The 26,097-nt window shown below is 33.4% G+C and overlaps 1 long non-coding RNA gene across 1 annotated transcript; it reads right to left on the reverse strand.

Moving 5' to 3' along the window:
- Positions 1-2,716: 2,716 nt before the first annotated feature.
- On the reverse strand, positions 2,717-9,825 carry LOC105374695 (uncharacterized). Its single transcript, XR_925873.2, has 3 exons — positions 9,402-9,825; positions 8,793-8,873; positions 2,717-2,957 (listed from the first exon to the last, which is right to left on the reverse strand). It is a non-coding gene; the product is annotated as an uncharacterized LOC105374695 (long non-coding RNA).
- Positions 9,826-26,097: the final 16,272 nt, after the last annotated feature.

A 26,097-nucleotide genomic window follows, 5' to 3' on the forward strand; every position in this document is an offset into this window, starting at 1 on the left:
TTATATCTAAAGGCAAGAAATAGATACCGGTAAATTTTAAAAGTAAACAGCAAGTAAAAATAATAATTAGCAACTTAATTCTTTAAATAAGGAATTTTGGGTATGTATGATTTAAAAGTATGCCAAATGCTTGGAGCATTGACAAAACATTTAGTAATTAAAAGGACTTGCTGGTTTTGAACAAAATAACCTTGAAAATTTTGTAGCAATAAATATAAATTTTAAATTCCTCCAGTAACAATTTGCAACAAATTATTCATAAATTATCCTGATGTTTTACTAACCCAAGTAAAACAAAAAAATTAATCAAATATCAAGAAAATATTTTGTCCGATTTTCATTTTAAACCGATACTGATAAATTGTTAACATTCAATCAACTTTGTTTAAAATATGAATTATTTACTATATTTTTAAATATATCATTTGAAAGCAAAATAAACCAAGGCAAGTAGAACTCATTTTACTCTAATATTTGTATTAATATTTATAGTATAACATAAAAAAATTTAAATTATTTTTTACTATGTATTATCTTTGGTTTATTCTTAATATGCTGGTAATCTTAATATGTTGATGTGTATATGTGTATGTGATTGTGTTGTTTGTGCGTTTGGATGTACATACTTACATAAGTACAATAGATAAAATGTTTACTTTTGCTTTACTACATATGTATACGATATAATCAATGAAAACCGTGTGCCAACATCAGTTTAAATGACAATACAATCAATGAGAAGACACAATATTTTTATAATTAATATAATTCTAATTTGTTGAAAATGTTGTCTCCCAGAAATACTATCTAAACTCATTTAAAATAAATAAAACTCTGTAGCCTTATATAAAAAGTTGTTAATGTTATTTAATTCATGCTAAAAGTTTGGTTTAATTTTTCTTCTTACTTAGGAAGGAAGGCCGTTAAAAATTTCTTCATTAAAATTTTTCTTCTGAAGTACAGTTTTAGTAAGTGAAAAAGATGCAAAATGACTTACTTTTTAATTTTTTAAGAAAATATGTTTATCTTCACTAGATATTTCTAGGGTGTGCATAAGATAATAGAAAAATCATTTTATAGCCAGTTAATCTCCCATTTTCTTAATAAAAGTCAAAATGAGAGAAAAATTGCAAAAAGAAAAATAAGAGAGCTGGAACTGACTCCAGACGTGTATAAAATTACCACTAGGAAAAGCTAATTATCCTCCCTTTGCAGGCAAAGGAGAGTACTTATTTGCAGAAAGACCAATTTTGACATACACAGAATAAAAAATCATGGTTTAAACAATAGTTTATGATTTTGAAAATTTTATCTGCTATATGATTAACAAAAAAAAAGGTACAAAAATGTACTCCAAATACAGAAATGAAAGAAGGGGGCATTGTCCATGTTAATCACTATAATGTCTCTTTAAAAGTGAAGACAGATAGAGGATGTGGAGAAATAGGAACACTTTTACGCTGTTGGTGGGACTGTAAACTGGTTCCACCATTGTGGAAGACAGTGTGACGATTCCTCAGGGATCTAGAACTAGAAACACCATTTGACCCAGACATCCCATTACTGGGTATATACCCAAAGGATTATAAATCATGCTGCTGTAAAGACACATGGACACATATGTTTATTGTGGCACTATTCACAATAGCAAAGACCTGGAACCAACCCAAATGTCCAACAATGATAGACTGGATTAAGATAATGTGGCACATATACACCATGGAATACTATGAAGCCATAAAAAATGATGAGTTCATGTCCTTTGTAGGGACATGGATGGAGCTGGAAACCATCATTCTCAGCAAACTATCGCAAGGACAAAAAACCAAACACCACATGTTCTCACTCATAGGTGAGAATTGAACAATGAGAACATTTGGACCTGGGAAGGGAGACATCACACATCGGGGCCTGTTGTGGGGTGGGGGGAGGGGGGAGGGATAGCATTAGGAGATATACCTAATATAAATGACGACTTAATGGGTGCAGCACACCAACATGGCACATGTATAAATATGTAACAAACCTGCACGTTGTGCACATGTACCCTAGAAATTAAAGTATAATAATAATTTTAAAAAATTTAAAAAAGTTTAAAAAGTGAAGACAGATAATCTTCCCATAAGGATTTTCTTCCCTTTTCTCTTTCAAGTCCTCTCTCAAGTGAAGAATAAAAAATTTCCCAAATAGCCATTGCAGTTTCAGATAGTACTTAGTAGAGTTATAACTGTTAGAAAGATATGCATATGAGAATTGCAATATAAAATAGGAAAACTGTGCTTTTGTAAACCTTGGATCTCCACAATCTGGCCAAAGATAAGTCATCACAAATTGAGTATCCAATGAACCCCCATGTCTGGCCAGAAAACAAACAAATAAATAAATAAATAAATAAATAAATAAATAAATAAATAAATAAAACTGTTCTCATGGATATAAACAATAAAACTAAAGCATCTGTATGATTTTGAAAAGTTGATCCAAGACAGAGTTTGTACAATGAATACTGGTCCAGAGAGACCTTCTGAACCCATCAATCCTTTGGGATTATCCAAGAATTAATCATCATTCTTATGTTGATCTTGCTATATATTAATACTTCGTTGTAAACACATGGACAATGAATGGAGTAGACAAAGACAGATGACAGTGTTTTTAAAGACATGGCAGTGTTTCCTGTAGGATAAGTGTTTTCAAATATGATCACTTAATCAAATGAGTCTTTAACAGGTTTTTATTTCCGAAGAGATAAAATGAATTCAGCATTTGGGAATTCCATATTGCAATTTACAACCTATATATGACTTTCACTACACATCATCTCACTTTCACTATCTGAGAGTACAAGCCTCTAGAGCCTTCTTAGCAAGTTCTTTTGAATTGATGGCAGTGAGGACATATTGATTAGATTTCAGTAGAATCTTCAGAGATCATCATGCATTGACTCTCCAAAACTCCTGAAAAAGACAAAAATGAAAATAAACTAATGCAGCAAAGTTCAGTTTATTAGAAATACTACACTGAAAGAGAATACCACCGTGAAAGAGTTTTAATCGTTTCTCAGGAGAGAAAATTTGGAGAAGAGTATTGATAAAGTTTTTATTAAAATAAATTTTTTAATAATCTATCCATGGCAACCATTGTACTTTTGCAATCTGCTTCTAGTTTAGACAGAGAAGGCACTTGGTATATATAATATGAACCCACATTTCTTCAATATTTCTTACAGGTGCTATTAGTAATTGGCTCAGAGAACTCGCCATTAGGGGCAGTGCATCACTTAACAATGGCTGGGCGTGAAAGAGGCAAGTAAATTTATTTTAAAATTTTAGCATTCTCCTTGTTCCAGTCTGAACATATCTGAATTGAGAGTATATTAATGAAGATTGAAATGCTGCATGTTTAATGACAGTTTCATCTTTATTCAAAATATGTATACAAAGGAAAAGATATGTCTTTTCATGGGTTTATAATATCTTGATTAATGGAAGATTCATTATATCAATAGAGAATTTTTAATAAGTTAAAATTTTGCATCTTATATAAAATCAAAAATAGTATGAGCACATATTGAAAATTATCTGACTTCTTAATTAGAGAACTAATCTAAAGATGAAGCTGGTCCAAAGGAGAAGTAGAGCAATGTTGACTTTTATTACCCTTCAAAGGAATGCTGAAATGAATTTGCTAATCGACACGAAACTAGTTAATGTACTATTTTTAATAAACTGTCACATTATAGCTATATTTTCTATAGGTAATCTATAGAAATAGATGAATACATAATCTATAAATAAATAGTTAAATAAACAAGCTATTTCCTCCATGTCTACAGTATACTATAATAGCAAATGCAAATTCAAAAGTACATTTTTTTCAGGAAACAAATTATCTTCATCTGCAACTGTTTATGCTCCAGTAGATGTCGAAGTTCAGGCAGCAATGCCGTTACTTGATGTCTAAGTTTAAATAATTGTTCTTTGCAGTCAGCATCAATTTTTTTTTTTTTTTTTTTTTTTTTTTTTTTTTTTTTTTGAGAGGGAGTCTCGGTCTGTCGCCCAGGCTGGAGTGCAGTGATGTCACCTCGGCTCACTGCAAGCTCCGCCTCCCGGGTTCACACCATTCTCCCGAGTAGCTGGGACTACAGGCGCCCGCCACGACGCCTGGCTAATTTTTTTTGTATTTTTAGTATAGATGTGGTTTCACCGTGTTAGCCAGGATGGTCTCGATCTCCTGACCTCATGATCCACACGCCTCGGCCTCCCAAAGTGCTGGGATAACAGGCGTGAGCCACCGCGCCTGGCCAGCATCAATATTTTTAAACATTTTAAAGTTTGTAATAATTTTAGGCTTACAAAAATTGCAAAATATTACAGAGTTTACTTATATTTCTCAACTTTCTTCATCTAATGTTAATATTTTACCCTAATTTCCAAACACAATTGTCCAATGAAGAAACCAGGGTCTTTGTAGATGTGGTTGATTCTAGGGCTGGGGCAGGCAGGAAGATGTGTCAGAGACACTTGGGGGTTTCAGAAAGTAAGAAAATGATTACAAGGAAGAAGAAGAAGAAAAAGAAAAACCATATTGAAAGACTCCGGGAGCCAAGCTGAAGGATTACCTAATGACCAAACCTGGAGCAATTTAAAAAACAAACATCAATATTTTTTATCGAATGAAGGATATTTTTAAACAAAATGAAAATGCTATGGTAAGAATTGGGGTAGGAGAAATGACCTCATTTGGATAGATGGGAAGGAAACAATGCCAAAAGGTACCTCGACAGAGTTTTCTTTTTGTAATATGGGGTATTTGCAGTAATTGGCTATAGTTGTTGGCCTTCTATAAGTATCTATGCTTATACACACCCTAGAAAGTCTTTGTACAAACACCTTTTCCAGTTTGAAGACCACTCGTGTAATAAGTAGGGTTTCTGTTTCATATTTACTGTGATAAATGCCAATAAGAAAAGAAACAATAAATTTCAAATGTAGCCAATAAAGACATTTTTATTGAATGTCTACTAAATCCCAGGTACTCTCAAGAAGTCCCTTCCTTTGAAAAAGTTTTATTATAGTAAAACAAGAGATTATTAATTTCATAGAGCAGACAATAAGTGAGTTAATTTTAGTGATTTTTAAAGACAGCAGTATATACATTATTTGATTCCATACAAGAAGATAAATGAAAATATGCTCAAGCGATTATTAAATTTCCATGGAAACTAGAAGCATGTATCTGTATAAAACTTGATACTTTCTAAATATTAAATTGTACCATTATCTGCAGATGTACCAATTTGTCTGACTTTGGCAAAATTATATAACTGTTTCTAAAACAAATAAGTTTATAATGAAAGTGGCACAAAGTGAAAAACGCAGTGTCTATTTTCTACCTCCTATTTTTTCATTTTAAAATAATGGAACAAGCAAAATTTAATGGTTAATTTAAGACTTTAAAATAGATTACATACTATGATATAATATAATAATGCTTTGCTACTGGATTCCAAATATTAAATTTTGATGTTCTTGGTATTTTAAAGATAAAATTAGAATTCACAATGCTACTATTTATAATTCTGATCATTTTTAAAATAATCACAAAATCAATGTTAGTGAAAATTAAAATTTTTACTAAGGATTAGTTTCTGAATTATAATTATAATTATTTTGATAAATATGAATTACAAAAAGATCTTATGTAAGTGGAAACAATATTTCTAGTCTTGCACTAATCAAGCCCCCGAAATTAGAGAGGTTTTTTTCTTACATGCTTTGTTGCTGCTTTTCTAATTCTTCAGATATATACTTTGTGTTATTCAGTGCTGTAAAAACAATACTTCTTACAAGAAATAATTCAACAGTTCAAAAATTACGATTATAGTACTTTTTATACTAATTATAGGCATAAAATATTTCAGCGAGACAGATTCAATATTAATCATATTTTGCCTCTTGTAATACAGGTCATATCACGTTATTCATAAGTATTCATTTGTATTATACACAACTTGGAAATAATCATGAGAAAATAACTGATTAAGGCATAAATGTCTAATATTATAAAATTACCTACTACTCATTTCTGTTTTATATAATTAACTTTACATTAAAATGTAACTCAAGCTTCATTATGTAATTACTAAAACACATATGTCATTAATTGCATTAACACTGTTTCCACTAAGATAATGAAAAAATTAACTTCTATTTTTATACTTGAATTTGGGATTGTGTATTCACATCAATCTGTTTCAAATTATTTAGGAATTATGCAACTATTCTTGTTTAATATGCAACTATTTTACCAGTCATCTTTTAATGCAACCTTATCATTATTTTTAAAATTACTAATGTACTAATGTTCTTTTCATTTGTGTAGTCATGTTTATATCAGTCCCAACCTTTGTTGATAGTAATTTGGCAGAAAAAGTCCAGGTTATCAGCCTTTCTGAACTGATGAAAGTGGTTTCCTTAGCAACTGAAGAACCGTAGAATCTCTCGGAACACCTGTTCTTCCCACTCATAATTCCTGCAGCTGAGAAGTATGCATTTGAAAACTGACTTTTTATTTTGATTTTTGCTTCTATATATTCAGCTTGGTTAGGACTGAGAAAGTTTGCTGAGTTTGACTTACTTGCACAGCTCAAAGGACCAAAGAGTCTGCATGCTTTAGACTTATTATTATGACTAGCAATTAGTATTTCATCTCCCCCATCCCTGAAGTATTCCTCATGTATTTTCCAAAGTCCTGAGCAGCCAGAGATAATGGTAAGGTTTGGAAATCCAGCTAGAGCAATGGACATTCTCTAAGTGCAAATGACAAAACGTGGCTCCATTGTCACCCTCAGGCTTTTTATTCAGCCCACATTCATAATTCAATGGGACTGGTAATATAAAAGGGCAATGTGCCTGACTGCTTGAGAAAATGACTGTCATATTTTAGCTTATAAATTTTTAAAATTATTCATTTCCTTGATTGTGTCAGGTCATTCTCTTTTTCTTAAAAAGTTAACTGAACTTATTCAGATGTATTGTCTATAGTACAGCTCCTAAGGGCAATTAAAAAAAATCAGTCAGTTATTTTCTCTTAGAACAAGTTGAGAAACTTAAAATATATTTCAATGTTTCCTTTTAACAATTGCATGAAAACTTTCTTCTAATTTAAGAATTTTCTTTTTAAAACTTCTCAACATATTAAGTAAAAAATGTATAAAAAAATGGCCTCTATAAACATACAATACTTTCCATGTAGCGACCCATGTCAAAAAGAAAAACTCATGCAGATAGAAGATTAAAGTTAATTTTCCAAATATTAATCAACCATCTCATCATATCTCCAAATTTTCTTCACAGACTAACGTATGCTATTATTTAATTTAATTCTCCACTTATTTGTTGGTCACAATCTGATTTTCTAAATGTAACATTAAGTAATGTCCTCAAAAACCTAACCTTTAACAATTAATTAAATGTTATGGATAGGTTGTTTATAAAATTTACATGTCCACTCAATATGAAATATGGCACTAATTAGAGGAAATTATTTTCCTATTAGTAGACAAAAAACAGTTGTGTAAAAGTGATTTCCAATTGTCCATTCATTTTTCCCCTTAAATATGCCTATTTAAAATGATTTTAAAAACATTTTTATAGAGGCATTAAACTATTTCAGTATTGAAATACAGATATTAAAAGCCTATGTTATCAGAGACCCACAAATGATATAATTTGAAGATGAATTATTATTATTTTCTCTTTTTCCCCCTCATATATTACCAATCAACATTTCTCTTTCTTTTTTTTTTTTTTTTTTGAGGCAGAGTCTTGCTCTGTCGCCCAGGCTGGAGTGCAGTGACACGATCTCGGCTCACGGCAACCTCCGCCTCCCAGGTTCAAGCAATTCTCTGCCTCAGCTCCCGAGTAGCTGGGATTACAGGCGCCTGCCACCATGCCCAGCTAAATTTTGTATTATTAATAGAGATGGGGTTTCACCATCATGGCCAGGCCGGTCTTGAACTCCTGACCTCGTGATCCACCCGCCTTGGCCTCCCAAAGTGCTGGGATTACATGCATGAGCCACCGCGTCCAGCTGACATTTCTCTTTCTTTTGGAAGTTATACATGTGTTAAAAATCCCAAGGAAATAAATATTTATATATCCCTGATATTCTTTAGAAACTCTATCCCTTGTCATTATTATTAAATTTTGAAATAGACACAGGAAATTTGAGGAAGAAATAACATGATAAAACTTTAGATTTCATTCTATAGTACTTTTTTCATGTCAACAAATAACCTTATACATGGATTTGCCCAGGGTCCTGTTCTCTTCTCAAACATCATCACCTCATTCCTCTTTTCTTCTCCTTCCTGATGACTGTCCTTCACTAATGGCAAGATACTGTGTTTTTTCAACACTGTATCCCCAGAGATTAGCAAAATGCCTAACTTTTAAAACCAGCTTAATTTTATTTTTTGAAAGATCAGTGGAATTACAAAATTATAGTTTTATCTTTTACATACCCATACTTTTAGCCAGTTTTTGGATATATTTTATTGTCTGTAATAATTTAAAACCATTCATCTGGAAAACCAAATATTTGAGAGTGAACATCACAGAAAGATTGTATCTCTTACAGTAATTCTACTTGCTGGAACTTAAAAATCTCTAATTTTTTTACGGCTTAATATAATAGATGTTTGTTTCATACTCAAACAGTAGTGCAGTGTGTCATTACACATCTATAGGATGCCTGTATGGTGACTCTAGCACAAAGATTCCTTTTACCTTATGGTTTCTTAAGCCTTCAAAGATCTCTGCTTTCTGCTTTCTTTCTCTGCTTCAAAGAGCTCTGCTTTCTTTCTCTCTCTGCTGATGGGATTGAGCACATGGATTAGACACACTCTCTGTACACTATTTTTCTTAAAAAATATTTTAAGGATAGTTTTTTTGTTTGGAGAAAAATTGAGAAGATAGTACATAGAATTCTTATATACCTTGCACACAACTTCCCCTATTAATGCCTTATATTAGTGTATTCATTACAACTATTTCACCAATATTGATACAGTGTTATTAACTAAAGTACATATCTGTAATGTTCTTTTTCTGTTCTATGATCCCACACAGGATACCAAATTACATTAATTGGTATGTTTTTTAGGCTATTCTTGGATGTGATTGTTTTTCAGAATTTCCTTGTTTTTGATGAATTTCGGTGGTCAGACAATTTGTAGAATATTCCCTCATTGCAATGTCTATTATTCTTTTCTTATTAGACAGAGATTATGGGCTTTCAGGAGGAAGGATGCAGAAGTAAAATGCCATTTCATCACAATATATCAAGAGTATCTATTATCAACACTTCTTATCACCATTTATATTGACTCTGATCACCTGGCTGAGGTAGTGTTTGTAGGTTTCTTCACTGTAAAGTTGCTCTTTTCTTTTCGTTCCTTTCTATTTTGTGCTCTTTGGGAGGAGGTAAGTTGGTGCAGCTCACATTGATGAAAAGCGGATTTATGTTCTTTTATGTTCTCTCTCCTTGAGGGCAGGATGTCTCCAATTCTAATCCATCACCACATGCATCTTTCTGGCCTCCTCCTCCTGCTTATCTGTAAACTCCCACTCCATCAGTGATAAACGTGGATGTCCTCCATTTATTTAACTGTTCAATTTCAGTACACATGTATAGCAGTACTAGAGCTGTTAACCTGGTATCTATTGAGAAATATCATTATCAGCTAGAATACAGTGCCTAAGTCTGTGTTTTTGCTGTCAGTTACACAGAATTTATTATTTTCTTAGGTCCACACCTTGCTCCTCCTCTTCACTCTATACATTGAGGCTGTTTTGTATACTCATAATACAGTTGGATCATTTTGTCACAATCTGTGTTCTATTCTTCCTAAATGATTGTTTTGCTATTCGTGTTATGAAGATTCACTTAATATACTGTAACATTCTATGGATTTTGACAAATATATAGTGTCATTTATCTGCATTTGCATTATCCTAGAGAATAGTTTCTCTATTTTAAAAATGACCTGCGCTTTACATATTCAGTCCCTCCTCCTCTTCCTTTCCCCAAAGCCCTGTCACTAATCTTTTCACTGTTTCTAAGATTCATTGGTGTCTTCTTGACTGAAGAGTTCAGACATTTTATCACTGAAAAATATTCCATTCTATGGATGAATCATAGTTTGTTTATCTCTTCATTTATTGAAGAACATCTTGATCATTTCTAGTTTTTGGCAATTATGAATAGACTGCTATACAATATTCACATGCAAGTTTTTGTCTAGACATAGGTTTTAAAGTAAGTTGGGTAAATACCAAGGAGTATATTTGATGGATCGTATAGTAAGACTATATTGACTTTGTAAGAAACTCCCAAACTGTTTTCTGAAGTGGACTTTCTATGTTGTAATATCACTCAAAAGAAATGAGAGCTGTTAATGTTTTGCATACTCACCTGAAATTGTCAATGTCAGGTTTGTTTTGGTTTTGTTTTTAACTTTAGCCATTCTGTTGTGTGTGTAGTGGTATTTCATTGTTGTTTTACATTTTCCCAATAAAATGTCACAGTGTATATGTTTTTGTAGGTTTGTTTGCCACCTAATATGTCTTCTTTGGTCTATAACTGTTCAGATCTTTTGACCATGTGTTTTTTGTTTGTTTGTTTTTCTTGAGAGGGAGTCTCTCTGTCGCCCAGGCTGGAGTGGAGTGGGGCAATCTCTGCTCACTACAAGATCCCCCACCTGGGTTCACGCCATTCTCCTGCCTCAGCCTCCCAAGTAGCTGGGACTACAGGCGCCCGACACCATGCCCGGCTAATTTTTTTGTATTTTTAGTAGAAACAGTTTCACTGTGTTAGCCAGGATGGTCTCGATCTCCTGACCTCGTGATCCGCCCACCTCGGCCTCCCAAAGTGCTGGGATTACAGACGTGAGCCACCGTGCCCGGCCCTATGTTTTTTTTTTAGTTGTTTACTTTTAAAGATTTGTTTTTAGTTTTGGATATAAGCCTTTTATTATATATATGTTTTAAAAATTTTTTTTCTCAGTCTGTAACTTTTTTTTTCATTTTCTTAACACTACTAACATTACCACATGTTCACATGTTGTATTCTTTTTTTCACTAAAATTCTTAACGTACTGATCATGGTTTTCTTAAATTTCTTGTCCGATAATTTCAAAAATTTGTTGATAGGAGTCTAGTTCTGATAATTTCTTTGCCTCTTTGGACTTTTTGCTGTTGTTGTTGTCTTTTAGCGTGTCTTGTAGATTTTTGTCGAAGGCCTAAAATAATATATTTGGTAATAATAACTTAGGTAAAGGCTTTTAATGTGAGGCTTTATGTTTTTCCAGCTAGGATTAAATCAGTGTTTAATGTTTGCTGTAGCTATAGCTAGCTGTCAGAGGCTTTGAATTCCTCTAGTGTCCTTGAGTTGGTCTCCCCTGTTGTCTTTGGGCTTCCCTAAGAACTCCTACTTAAATGGGGGTTGTGCCTTTACATCTTTCAGCTGATGCCCTGTTGATTGGTGATGTGGGGGATCAGAAAGCATTCTGTAATTTTGTGATTCAACTATGGTATTTTAGATGGCCTGTGTACCTGTGCTGTGACCTTCAACCTCCCTCTTCACATTGTAAGTGAGATATGAAGGCTGAAAAAAGTGGAGTTGGGTATTTTCTCTTTCACTAACACAAATAAACCTCTGGGAAAGTATTTTCCTTGCTGATTAGGCCTTTGTTTGGGGGAATTCTCTGGATAAATTAGAAATTGTCATTTTTCCCCTTATCCTGCCAGAAAAATAGAGTATTTCATGAGGATTTACCAAGGTCTTCTGGGGTTACTAGAAATAAACCCATGGAAATTTGGGGGGACCTAGAGTTTCTCACTATCACAATAGTCTACACTTTACCCCCAGCAATTCCTCAAAGTTACTATTCAAGTGTTCATACCAGTTTGTAGTTACAGCATCTTCTGCTCCCAGCAAGTGTATTCAGACTGTGATTATCTGTATTTACCTGTGTCTCCAAATTTTGTGGTTGCTGTGTGTCCTGCAACCTCAATTCTCTAGTATAGCCAAGAAAATAAATTAATTTTGGTTTGTTCATTTCTTCCCTTGTTGCAAAACCAGTAGCAACACTTTCCAAGCACTTTCCATGTCAGAGCTGAAACTGAATTTTGGAACACTGATTTTTAGTGTTCCTGTTCTCAAGAGGCATATCACTTAGATCTATTAATAGGGTTTGACCATGTCCCCATCCAAATCTCATCTTCAATTTTAGCTCCTACAATTCCCACGTGTCATGGGAAGGACTCGGTGGGAGGTAATTGAGTCACAGGGCCTGGTCATTCCCATGCTGTTCTTGTGATAGCGAGTAAGTATCACAAGATCTGATGGTTTTATAAAGGGGAGTTTCTCTGCACACGCTCTCTCTTGCCTGCTGCCATGTAAAATGTGACTTTGCTCCTCCTTGCCTAGTGACATGATTGTTAGGCCTCCCCAGCCATGTAGAACTGTGAGTCAATTAAATCTCTTCCCATTATAAATTACCCAGTCTTGGGTATGTCTTTATTAGCAGTGTGAAAACAGACTAATACATCTATATACCATTGGCAAGAATTAGTAATATGGTCTTAACCAGCTGCATGGAAGCATTGGGAATATAGTCTCTGGCAGAGCAGCTACATTCTAGAGACAACCCCATGAGAAGAAGCACAAGCCTTGGTGGACTCTTAGGTCTCTCATTCATGGACCCTATGATGGAAAAGGCAAAATCAACATTTAGAAACCATTTTCTGAATTCCAAACATTATACTAGATATTTTATATATGTGATCTCATTTACATTTTACACTCCCTAATTAACTAAAGGAGATTATTAGACCACGTAGGAAATTGAATCAGAGAATTTAGCCAAATGCCCAAGGGTACATAGCTCAATTTATATTTCAACCTAAATCCATGTAACTTTAAAGGCTATGTACTATTTAGAAAGTGACTGAGCTGGGTTAAAGATTTTACTGGTATTTTAAACTAAATATGATTATATTTATAAAATCGTTTGAGAATAATTTATTATTTGCACTAGAAAATCTCTAATCAAAATGTATTTCTTCTCATTTAGTCAAGTTGATTGTCACAGATTTGCCATTGCCTCTAGGTAAAACACACAATAGCCTCACTCCTGCTTTTCCTAAGGAAGTCCACAGTATCTTGTTTCTGGAAGGCCTTCCAACCTAAGCCAGCCCTACCCAGCAGTCCAGAGCCCCATTTTTTTTTGTATTACATTCATGTTTGCTGTGGTGAATAGCATATTCTAACTGCAAAGTCTCTTTGTTTTTAACGTAAAGTTATTCAGATGGTAACTGACTTCTTTATTGAATTCAATTTTAATATTTACTTGGTTGAGTCTCCTGAGTATACCAAGTTGTCAAGTCTATCACTAGAAAATAATAGTGCTATCTCATTTTCAATATTATTTACCTTTTATCTTATTGTACTTACTAAGACATTATAAAACAATACCAAAATCATCAAGCATGCTTGTCTTTCTACACATCAATTCTTGCTGGGACTATTGCAATGACTTCATAACAAGGTCTCTAGATCTGATTGTTATTCTAAACAATCAACCCTTCATATAGTCATATTTAAAGTATTTTATTTTCATAGTTCTGTCTTTTGCAGTAGCTGGTTAGATCAATAATGATAGAAACTATGAAAATTATGCCAATGACACCTTCATACAGATTTCCACAGCATCTAAAACAGTATAGCTACACAGTATAACAATTTATGTTAAATTATCTTTTATTTATTTTTAACTTTTACTAGCCCTTTGAAACATCTTGTATAACTAAAGAGAATAGAGCACATAACAAAAGCAGAGTCTTTTTATTAATTATATAGAGAGGAGAACAATATTTTGAGAATCTGGAGATATTATGAAATTGGGCTTCCCAAGGCTTGGTGATCTGGCATGGAGAGGATTGCAGGAGTAGATAGGCCAAATATGATCTCTTCCCTCTTTCTGATATCCTGCCAATAATTCTATGGTATAAACTCCCCGAAATGCCAGAGGACAAAGAACTCATTGGTGAAGTCCAGAAAAGTTAGCTTCACTGGACACTCAACAGAACGGAAATGAAGAAGAGGAGTAGGGCTGTGAAGAGTCAGAAGGAAACCCTCTAGCACAGGTGAATTTGATACTATGCCAGGCAAAACACATTCTGTCTCCCAACACAGGGCATACAGAGTCAGATCAACTACTATAATGTTGTGTGGTAGTATCAATTCAGTCATACTCATTATACTCATTCCTCAATCTTAATGTGTTAGTCATCATCAGTGACTTTCAAATAAGCTACTAGGGAAACAAATATTTAAGTAAAATAAAACACATTCTTATAGTCTTTGTTTCTGTATCACAACAATGTCTAAGTTGATAATAATAACTTCCTTCATTGCCATTGTGTCTTAAATTCTTCCAGCACCTTAAGAGAATTGAGTACATGAAGACAAAACCCAATCCTTTATGTGAAATCTGAGACAACAGTGATCTATGTTCACTGGATTTCTGTACTTTAACCAGTCTACACTAGTGACTCTCAAAAAGTGTTTCACTGAATAATCTGGATTCCAAACATGGTCTTTTTTACTGCAACTATATAAAAACAATAAAAGTTCCTCTTGGGAATCAGGCTCTATTGCTGTGCTAACCATCTTTCTGTCTGTTGTTAGAGGCCAGTAAATAGCCTTAATTTACAATTTAACAGAAAAACAAAGCAATATATGGGTATTAGTAGAAACATTCCTCCCTTGGTAACTAAGACCTTCACACTAACTGAACCAAAGTTTGTGAGAAAAGAGAGCAAACATTTATTCAATGGGGTATTTGGTGTCATAAGGAGAAGAACTACTGTCAAATTTATCCTGTCGTTCATACCTACACATTCTGACTAGGGATGTGAGGCCATATATTGGCTTTTATTTAAGGCATCAAGCAAAAGCTTCCCAGGTGTCTTCCAACTGGGACTATAATGGGAACCTCCACAAGACATTCTGCCCTTTTATCAAGCCAGCTTCCCTATGGCATTGGAGCACTGAAAATGTTAAACTCCTATGTTGGAGTACATTGTCACACTACTTTCTCTATAAAGTAAGAATGTTAGCTAGTATTCTACAATTCCAAAAATAATGAGGATGGCAGAAACATTGCAGAAGAAGGCAAATCTGCAACCAAAGTAATATGTCTATTTAAAAAAAAATTTGTGAGTACATGGTATTCTACATATTTATGGCGTACATGAGATATTTTGATACCGACATACAATGTATGATAATCACATCAGGATAATGGGGTACTAATTACTTCAAACATTTGTCCTTTCTTTGCATCACAAACAATCCAATTATACTCTTTTAGTTATTTTAAGATGTACAATATATTATTGTTGACTGTAGTCACCTTGCTGTGCTATCAAATAGTAGCTCTTATTCTTTCTTTCTGACAAAATTTTTATACCCATTAATTATTCCCACTCCCTCACACCCAAGGCTACTATTCCCAGCTTCTGGTAGCCATCATTCTACACTCTATCTTCATGAGTTCAATTATTTTCATTTTTAGCTCCCACAAATAAGTGAGAGTACTTGAAGTTTTTCTGTGTCTGGTTTATTTCACTTAGCATAAAGTCCTCAGGTTGAATCCATGTTGTTGCAACTGACAGGATCTCATTCTTTTTATGGCTGAATAGTGCTCCACTGAGTATATATACCACATTTTCTTTATCCGTTAATCTGTTGATGGATACTTAGGTTGTTTTCAAATCTTAGCTATTGTGGACAGTGCTACAATAAACATGAAAGTGCAGCAGGGCACAGTGGCTCACACATGTAATCCCAACATTTTGTGAAGCTGAGGCTGGTGAATCACTTGAGACCAGGAGGAGTTTGAGACTAGAATTTATTTCTGCATTCTCTACTCTTTGCCATTGGTCTGCATGCCTGTCTTTATGCCAGTATCATGTTATTTTGATTACTATAGCTTTGTAGTATAATTTGAAGTCAGGTAATGTGATTCCTCCAGTTTTGTTTTTTTCTCACAATGGCTTTGGCTGTTCTGGGTCTTTTGTAGTTTCATAATAATTTTACGATTAGTTTTGCTATTTCTGTGAAGAACATCATTGGTATTTTGTTAGGAATTGCATTGAATCAGTAGATTGCTTTGGATAGTATGGACATTTTAACAATATTGACTCACCTAATATATGAACAAAGAATATCTTTCCATTTTTCTGTGTTCCCTTAAATTTCCTTCATCAATGTTTTATAGTTTTTATTGTAGTGATCTTTCACTTGTTTGGTTAAGTTTATTTCTAGATATTTTATTTTATTTGTAGCTATTGTAAATGATATTACTTTCTTGATTTATTTTTCAGATTGTTCACTGTTGCCATATAGAAATGTTCAAGATTTTTGTATGTTGATTCTTATATCTTGGAATTTTACTGAATTTTTAAAATCAGTTCTAGTAGTTTTTTCATGAAATCTTTAGTTTTTTCCAAATATAGGACTATATTATCAGCAAACATGGATGATTTGACCTTTTCCTTTCCAATTTGGATGCCGTTTACTTCTCTTGTCTGATTGCTCTAGCAAGGACTCGTTGAATACTTGTCCAGTACTATTTTGAGTAACAGTGGTGAAAGTCAGCATTGTCATCAGGTTCCGGGTCATAGAGAAAAGGCTTTCAGTTTTTCTCCATTCAGTATGGATACTCCACTAGCTGTGGGTGTGTTATATATGCCTTTTATTGTGTTGAGGTATGTTCCTTCTATTATCCACTTTTTTGAGGGTTCTTATTATGAAGGGATGTTGAATTTTATCAAATGCCTTTTAAGGGTCAATTGAAAAGATCATATGGTTTTTGTCCTTCATTCTGTTGATATGATGTATCTCATTGGTTGATTTGCATATATTGAACCATCCTTGCATCCCTGGAATAAATTCCATTTGGTCATGATGAATGATTTCTCCAATATGTTGTTGAATTCGATTTGCTAGCATTTTGTTGAAGACTTATGCATAAATGTTCATCAGGGACATTGGCTTGTAGGTTATTTTTTTTTTTATGTAGCCTTGTCTGGTTTTGATTTCAGCTTGCCACTGGCCTCATAACATGAGCTTGGAAGTATTCCCCCATCTTCTATTTTTCAGAATAGTTTGAGTAAGATGGTATTCATTCTTCTTGAAATGTTTTGTAAAATTTAACAGTGAAGCCATTGAGCATTAGGCTTTTCTTTGCCATTGGGACTTTTCTTAAAGCTTCAATCTCATTACTTGTTATTGGTCTGTTCAGGTTTTGGATTTCTTCTTGGTTATATGTTGGTAGGTTTTATGTGTCTAGAAACATATCCATTTCTTCAAGGTTTTTCAGTGTACTGTAATATACTTGCTCATAGTAGCCTCTAATGATCCTTTGAATTTCTGCAGGATTGGTTCTAATGTCCTATTTTTCATCTCTGGTTTTATTTGTGTCTTCTCTCTTTTTTCCTAGTCTAACTAGAGGTTTAACAATTATATTTATCTTGCCAAAAAAAAAAAAAGAAACAAACCTTTTCTTTATCTTCAGTATTTTTTCATTTCAATTACATTTATTTCTGCTCTCATCTTTATTATTATTTTTTTCTTCTGCTAAATTTGAGATTTGTTTGCTCTTGCTTTTCTAGTTCTTTAAAATGCATCATTAGGTTATTTATTGGAAGTTTTTCTGCCTTTTTTGATAGAGGTGCTTATCCTTATAAACTTTCCTTAGTATTGCTTTGCCGTGTCTTGCAGGTTTTAGTATGTTGTGTTTCCATTTTCCTTTGTTTCAATAATTTTTTAAAATTTTCCTGTTAGTTTTTTCACTGACCCCTGGGTCATTCAGGAGCATATTGTTTAATTTCCATATGTTTGTATAGTTTCAAAATTTCTCTTATTATTAGTTTCTAGTTTTTTTATTATGATCCAGAAGGATACTTGATATAATTTCAATTTTTTGAATTTTTAAGACTTTTTGTGGCCTAATGTATGGTCTATTTTTGAGAATGGTCCATGTGCTGAGGAAAATAACATGTATTAAATGTTCTATAAATACCTGTTAGTTCCATTTGGTCTACAGTACAGACTAAATTTGATGTTTCTTTGTTGATTTTCAGTCTGGATGATCTAACCAATGTTGAAAGTATGGTTTTGAAGTCTCCAGCTATTATTTTATTGGAGTCTATCTCTCTCTTTACCTCCAATAACATTTGCTTCTATTCAGCCATTTTCCTCCAGCTCCCTCTGTGTTTATTTATTTATTTATTTATTTTGCTGGCAAATTGCTACTCTGTCCATCATGGAAAGGATCCTACATAGCTCATTTGCAATCTGAACCTTCTACAAAAACTGTCCTATGAGAGGCTAGGTGTTGGCCAGTATTTTCAGACAGTTGGACATTTGGGAATAGCAGGATCTTGGCCAATCCATGCATAACGTCCATTTCTGTCACTATGACAAATTTTCCTGTAGACTCTTTGATCAAGACTATTGTGGCAAGGTAAAGAGTTTGGGTTGCATCTATATGTCTTTGAAATAGTTTTGTTTTTGTTTTAACTTTTATTTTAAGTTCAGGGATCCATGTGCAGATTTGTTATGTAGGTAGACCCCATGATGGGGTTTTGTTGTACCAATTATTTCATCACCCAGCTATTGAGTTTTGTTTTTAACCTATTTTTGGAATTAGCAAATCTTTTCCTGTGAAGAGCCAGAAAATAAATATTTAAGGCTTTGCTGTCTATGTGATTTCTATTACAACTACTCATCTCTGTGGTTCCAAGTACAAAAGCAGCCACAGAGAATACACAAATGAATAAATGTGGCTGCATTTCAATAAAACTTAATTTATGCAAACAAGGTAGCAGATTTAATTTATAGGCATAGTTTGCCATCCCCTGACTACTTGATTATCAGTCATTTCTTAATTAATCTGTAAGCTAGGCTTCTGTTAATTGGCAATAAAGCCAGTGTCAGTGTGTAGCACATGAGTCTGATCCAGTTGTGTGCTGGATCTAGCTTGCACTGGCTTCCACCATCCAATTATGTATATCTCTTCCTATCTCCAAGTATTGACCAAGTTAGGAGTATTATATTATGGAAATCCACAAATGCTCCTAATCAGGGCTACTTACTCCCTGTAGTTTGTGGAACACTGCCAGAATGCCACTGGTCTGAGACTTTGCTCATGCAGTTTAATAGTCTTCAAGCCTAGATTAAATTTTTGCCAACTCTATTTTACAATGTAAGGCTTCTCTATGTGTCCAGTTGATTGAATAAGTGAGGTTACATGCAATTTATAATGTCTTGTTTGATTTTTGCCTCTCCAGGCTTAGAAGTTTTCTGATTACATATATAAAGCAGAATCTTACTAGGCTGCTCATCCGTTTGGTTCATAGAGACCACAACATCAAGCAGCTATCAGTCAGATCCCTGCTGATCAAAAAGCTATGAGAATAACTTTGGTTTGGTTCTGTTACTTGCTATAATAATTAAGTTTCTCTGTCTTTGCTGTTTAAGCATAGAAACCTGTCTTCAATTCTAATCTCGATATTTCTATTGAGATTAAGAACTCCACTTTCCTAGCTACCTGAGAGGCTGAAGGGGGAGGATCACTGGAACCCAGGAAGTCAAGATGTAGGAAGCTGCAACTGTGCTACTGTACTCCAGTCTAGGTGATGAAGTGAGACCCTGTCAAAAAAAAACAAAAAAAAACAAAAAAACTCAACATTATATTGCCTTCATTTACCTTCATCTGCCTCCACCACAACTTTGCTATTCCAGCAAAGTTGGTGACTACCTCTCCAATGAGTTACCTGACAAAGGGTAAGGAATGTAACCACCGGGTCCTTCAGGGGCCATGTTAGGAGGCAGCAAGAAACACAATAGATCAGTTTCAAAAATTTCCTCACTGTAAGCCTTTTAGTTTATTTCTGTATTAAAAAACAGTAATTCAAGCATCCAACCTCCTTTACTCCAGGCAACAGTGAATCTAGGCATGGAATTAGGGAACTAGCAGATCATAAATGGCACTCTTAGTTAATTGTTCTAATATAACTTTTAGAGGTTTCCCTTTCTGTACCACTCTGGTACCAGTTATCCTATGAGTTAGAGTTCTGGTGAAAAAGAGATAGCACATATAAAAAGTAATTGAGAATTGTTTAAGAAAGAAGCCATTTTAAAATGAGTAGGTAGCATGAAAACTGCAAGTAATAGGGGATCTCAGGGACAACAATAGTAAGAGCTTCTCTACCCTACACCTCAGAGAGTAGGAAAGAACATTTTTTAGGATAGGGCTTGCCCATGAAGTTGTCATCTTTGGTAAAGAGACACAGCAAACGTGGAGTGATCTGACAGGGAGTGTGTCAGAGGAATCAGCTTCCCAGCCTAGTTAAAGCCAATTAATAGACACAGTGTCAGGGAGACTGTTGAGGCTGCCCATTAAAGTCAGTGCTCTCGGCCACAGAACTGACTTGAGAATAGTCAAGAGTGAATCTAAAAAGGTTATAAGAAAACATATAGCATATATATAGTGTGAAAGCATAAGAGTTGTTCTAAGAAAACTATCAATTCAAAGATGAGGCAGGATAAAAATAGCATCAAAAAAGCCAAAGGAAAAATTTCAAAGGTGAATGATTTGGTCAATAATATCATTAACACTAACTACAGTAAGTATAACAACTTTAATTAAATATTACAAATTTAATGTTACCCAGAAACTGGAAACATTTCAGTATTTTTTAGAACATCTGTATGTAGCATTGATCATTTTTCTTAACATGGGGAATATGTGTGATATCTCTAAAGTTACACAGAAAGTAGGTTAAAGGCTATTTTGTGTCAAAGTCACCCCTCAAATACTTGACTCTAAATAACTAATTCAAATGCAGTGGAGTAGTTGAGAAGGGAAAGATAGAAAATATTGTTGGATTTGCCAAAGTTGCTGATTGGTTATTAGAGATTTCTGGTATTAAAACGATGGGTTCTCTAAGAGACGAAATAGCAGTTCTATATCATACTTTCCCAGGAATTTGATTTTGACTTGATTTCATTTAAATAGGTAGAATTGTAAATAAGGGCTGACATTGTTGAGTCAGTGTCAGTGGTTGTATGCTTATATATTTAAGCATACAAACACGCATACACATCTTTTAAACAGCATACTTATACATATTCAAAAATAAGCGGAATACAACATTTTACAAAAAAAGTTAAAAATGTAATTGAGTGAGGCGATTTATAGGCAACAAAATTTCAAATCATGTAGGAAAAGATTGGTTTCAGTTGCTTCCTGTAATTTTCTTGTTAAAAGAGAATTAGTATTATAATGAAATGATTTCGACTCCATTGAACATCTAGTTTTTAATATAAAATGTTAGTAAAACGTGTTAAATTTATACACACAGACACACACACATTTTAGACAAGAATATTAAAAAAGTTACACTTTTATCTTTTTCCTGTTTTATCTTTATATCTTAGAACTTTTAGAAAATCATTCTGTATTACGATTGATAATGCTATATTTGCAATCAGCTTTTTTCTATCTTTACTATTAACTTCTAAATTATTTGCATTTTTTCTGTTTGAAATAAAAAAAATTAAATCAGTGGCCTATGCTATCTTTCTTTAGACCAAGAATCCCGAGGTTCATACATTTACAGAAGAGAGCTTTATTTTGTATAAAGGGTTATAGCCTGGAGGCTGGCCATCCCAAAGGTTGGCCAATAAACATGTGAAAAAATGCTCAATATCACTAACTATCAGGGAAATGCAAATCAAAACCACAATGTGATAACACCTTATTCCTGCAAGAATGACCATCATCAAAAAATCAAAAATAGGCAGGGCGCGGTGGCTCACGCCTGTAATCCCAACACTTTGGGAGGCCGAGGTGGGCAGATCATGAGGTCAGGAGATTGAGACCATCCTGGTTAACATGGTGAAACCCCGTCTCTACTAAAAACACAAAAAATTAGCCAGGCGTGATGGCATATGCCTGTAGTCCCAGCTACTTGGGAGGCTGAGGCACGAGAATCACTTGAACCCAGGAGACAGAGGTTGCAGTAAGCCAAGATCGTGCCACTCTACTCCAGCCTGGGCAACAGAGCAAGACTCTGTCTCAAAATAAATAAATAAATAAATAAATAATAATAGATGTTGGTAGATGTTGGCATTGGTATGGTGAGAAGGGAACACTTTTACACTGTGAGTGGGAATGTAAACTAGTATACCCCTATGGAAAACCATGTAGAAATTCCTTAAAGAACTAAAAGTAGATCTACCCAGCAATCCCACTACTGGGTATCTACCTGGATACCCAGAGGAAAACACACTATTATATGAAAAAACACTTGCACACGCATGTTTATAGCAGCACAATTTGCAATTGCAAAAATATGGAACCAGCCCAAATGCCCATCAATCAATGAGTGGATAAAGAAAATACTATACACACACACATACACACACACACACACACACACACATAGATACATTATATATATACACATTAAATATAATGTATCTCTATATATTTTATCTATATAATGTACCTACATTATATCCGTCGACATAATGTACCTACATTATATCCGTCGACATAATGTACCTACATTATATCCGTCGACATAATGTACCTACATTATATCCGTCGACATAATGTACCTACATTATATCCGTCGACATAATGTACCTACATTATATCCGTCGACATAATGTACCTACATTATATCCGTCGACATAATGTACCTACATTATATCCGTCGACATAATGTACCTACATTATATCCGTCGACATAATGTACCTACATTATATCCGTCGACATAATGTACCTACATTATATCCGTCGACATAATGTACCTACATTATATCCGTCGACATAATGTACCTACATTATATCCGTCTATATAATGTATCTACATTATATCCGTCTATATAATGTATCTACATTATGTCTGTCTATGTAATGTATCTACATTATGTCTGTCTATGTAATGTAGATACATTATGTCTGTCTATGTAATGTAGATACATTATGTCTATCTATGTAATGTAGATACATTATATCTATATAATGTATCTATCTATATAATGTAGATACATTATATCGATATAATGTAGATACATTATATCGATATAATGTAGATACATTATATCGATATAATGTAGATACATTATATCGATATAATGTAGATACATTATATCGATATAATGTAGATACATTATATCGATATAATGTATCTATCTATATATAATGTATCTATATATATAATGTATCTATCTATATATGTATATACACCATGGAATTGTACTCAGACATAAAAAGGAACAAAATAATGACATTTGCAGCAACCTGGATGGAATTGGAGACCATTATTCTAAGTGAAGTAACTCAGGAATGGAAAACCAAACATTGTATGTTCTCACTCATAAGTTGGAGCTGAGCTATGAGGAGGCAAATGAATAAGAATGATACAATGGACTTCGGGGACTTTGTAACCAAACACCACCTGCACACCAAAAACCTATTGAAATAAATACAAAATTAAAAATTAAAAAAATAATTCCCCCAAGCATTGGCAAGCAAATATTTACATGTAAAAAAAAAATGATAGTTCTGAAACCACATGCAATTCTGATTCGATGTGAGACTTACCTTTCCACATCAAGGTAGTGAATTAAGAAAATAATGACTCTCTGCCAGTGATTGCTCATTATCTGTCAGGGAATGCTCTAAATAATATATAGTACAGAATTTTGCCACCCTATCACGCTTCTGAGAATGTTCAAGTAAGATGACACCCATTTTACAGATGAAGTACAGTATGAGATGGTTAAATAACCTGCCAAAATACTCAGCTCAAAATTGCTTGCGGCCTGGCCATCAATATTCAGAGCCTACCCATTGAGCACCACGCTTTACTAACTTCTACAGTTGCCACTATCATTTACAAATCCAAGATCCTTAAAATAAGCTGCATATTTAAATCCCATGTTACCATTTACACGTAATGGAATAATGGAGAATCAAGAAACCATAAGCTTTTCGTCTTGTCTGATACGAGGAGACTTCACATACTGTGTCTGTAGCATGCAATGCATGTGTTTCAAAGTCCTTGACAAGAGTTCCACAATTTAGAATATTATTTGAAATAAAATAAAGTGAAAAAGTCAGTTTGATATTTAAACTTCATGAAAACGAGATACGTGTTCTTTTTCTTAGCTGTTATTTCCCTACCCTCTCACCTTAACTCTGTTAAATCCACAAATGCTTTTCACATAACTTCAGGGGAAACACAGCTGTAGAAAATCAAGAAAAAGAATATTTAATCTAGACATTACTAGATTTTTATTTATTGAAAAAAACTGAATTTTGCCTTTCATTTTAGACCTAGATATCATGACTTATTCCTATTATAAGAGAAAATTAAGTTTCTGCAGATGATTCCCTACATTTAAAAATGTTAAAAAAAAGTGATATTCTTTCTATTTAATCAAAATATACTGTGATTTGTGAAAGACTCAAACACTACACAGGAGAGAATATCACATTACTAAAATATTTGTAGATGATATTTTCAAATATGTTCTTTAATCTAAATCAATACAACATTTGACTTCACAGTGTTTTTAATTATAATTTTATAGCATTTTATGATTCAAAAAATGATAAGACAAGTTTTACTTCAATATTAATTTTTCATTGTGTTCTGTTGAGCAAAGTAATCCATTAGGAATATATGGAAGTTTTCACAAAATGAATAAGAAAATACTGTATCTCACATTAGTTTAAGTTGTTGAAGATAAGAAAATATTGTTATTGAAGAAAACTACCAAATGCATTCCCTAAATACGAAAAAAGTGTATAAAAGATATACTAGATGCATTACAAATGTGACTCAGAATCTCCCAACAATAAAAACCCATCTTGCATCAAATGGCAATACCAACATGTATCTTCTTAGGTGTAAAATGATTTCTCTTGCCAAGTATAGTTTTCATCTGTCTAGCAGTTAGTTTGATGAAGAGTTTATAAAGTAAAAATATGCCAAAATCGAGACTGTTATGTATTAATTACATTCAAATTTTCCATTTTTTCCTTAAGCATGAGAAACATTTTGTTCAGATTTAAAAATGAAAAACAAGTTAAGGACATCTATAATGACTTCTGGTGTCTCTTGAATATTCATATTTGGGTCATTATCTTTCCAAGGTCAGAAGAAACGTTGATTGAATTGCATGCTTCCTAATGGGCATATTACTTTAGGCATCAACGACTGACAAACAATTCTAAATTGAATTTATGCCTAACAGATAAATAGCACATGAAACGATCATTTCTTGTTGTTACTTTTGCTCCGAATTCTGCTATTGTAGTTTAGTTTATAAGATAGTTAACTCCTCATGGACAACACCACCATTATTTTATATTAAATGCTTCTTTCCTATCCTGTGAGATACAATTGTGTTAACTAAGTAAAAATTATTTATGCATAAAAATGTCAAAAACAGTTATTTTTGACAGTTATCCATCAAATTATAGAGGCTAATACGCTGCCTAATTCTACTTTACAAGAACTTCATCTTGGCTGTATTGGTGTGTTAACAAAATCATATTTTCCCTTCTAATTTTTGTAGCAATGACATATTAAATACGGATTTTAATATAATATTTTTAGCAGGCATATTTCATATTGTTTAAAATCATTTATGCAAGATGTAAAGCAAAAACCAAATAAACCTCCAAGCCATAATTAGTACTACAGTCTAGCTTATTTTAATTATATTGAAAAAGTATTTGAAACTAATATAAAACAGTTTTAACTAACCTGTTAATGTTATTATTCTCAATTTATCAACTAAGTATGGCAATTATCATTTCCACTTTACTTTCTTTTCCTCACCAGCCTATTCATGTAAAATGTTTTGAATGCACATTGCCAAATGTATATGGATGCATGTTATACGTATGTAAAGGTATGTTTCCACATGGGTGA

This window comes from Homo sapiens, chromosome 5 (assembly GCF_000001405.40).
Source record: "Homo sapiens chromosome 5, GRCh38.p14 Primary Assembly".
In the NCBI taxonomy this organism is placed as follows: Eukaryota; Metazoa; Chordata; class Mammalia; order Primates; family Hominidae; genus Homo; species Homo sapiens.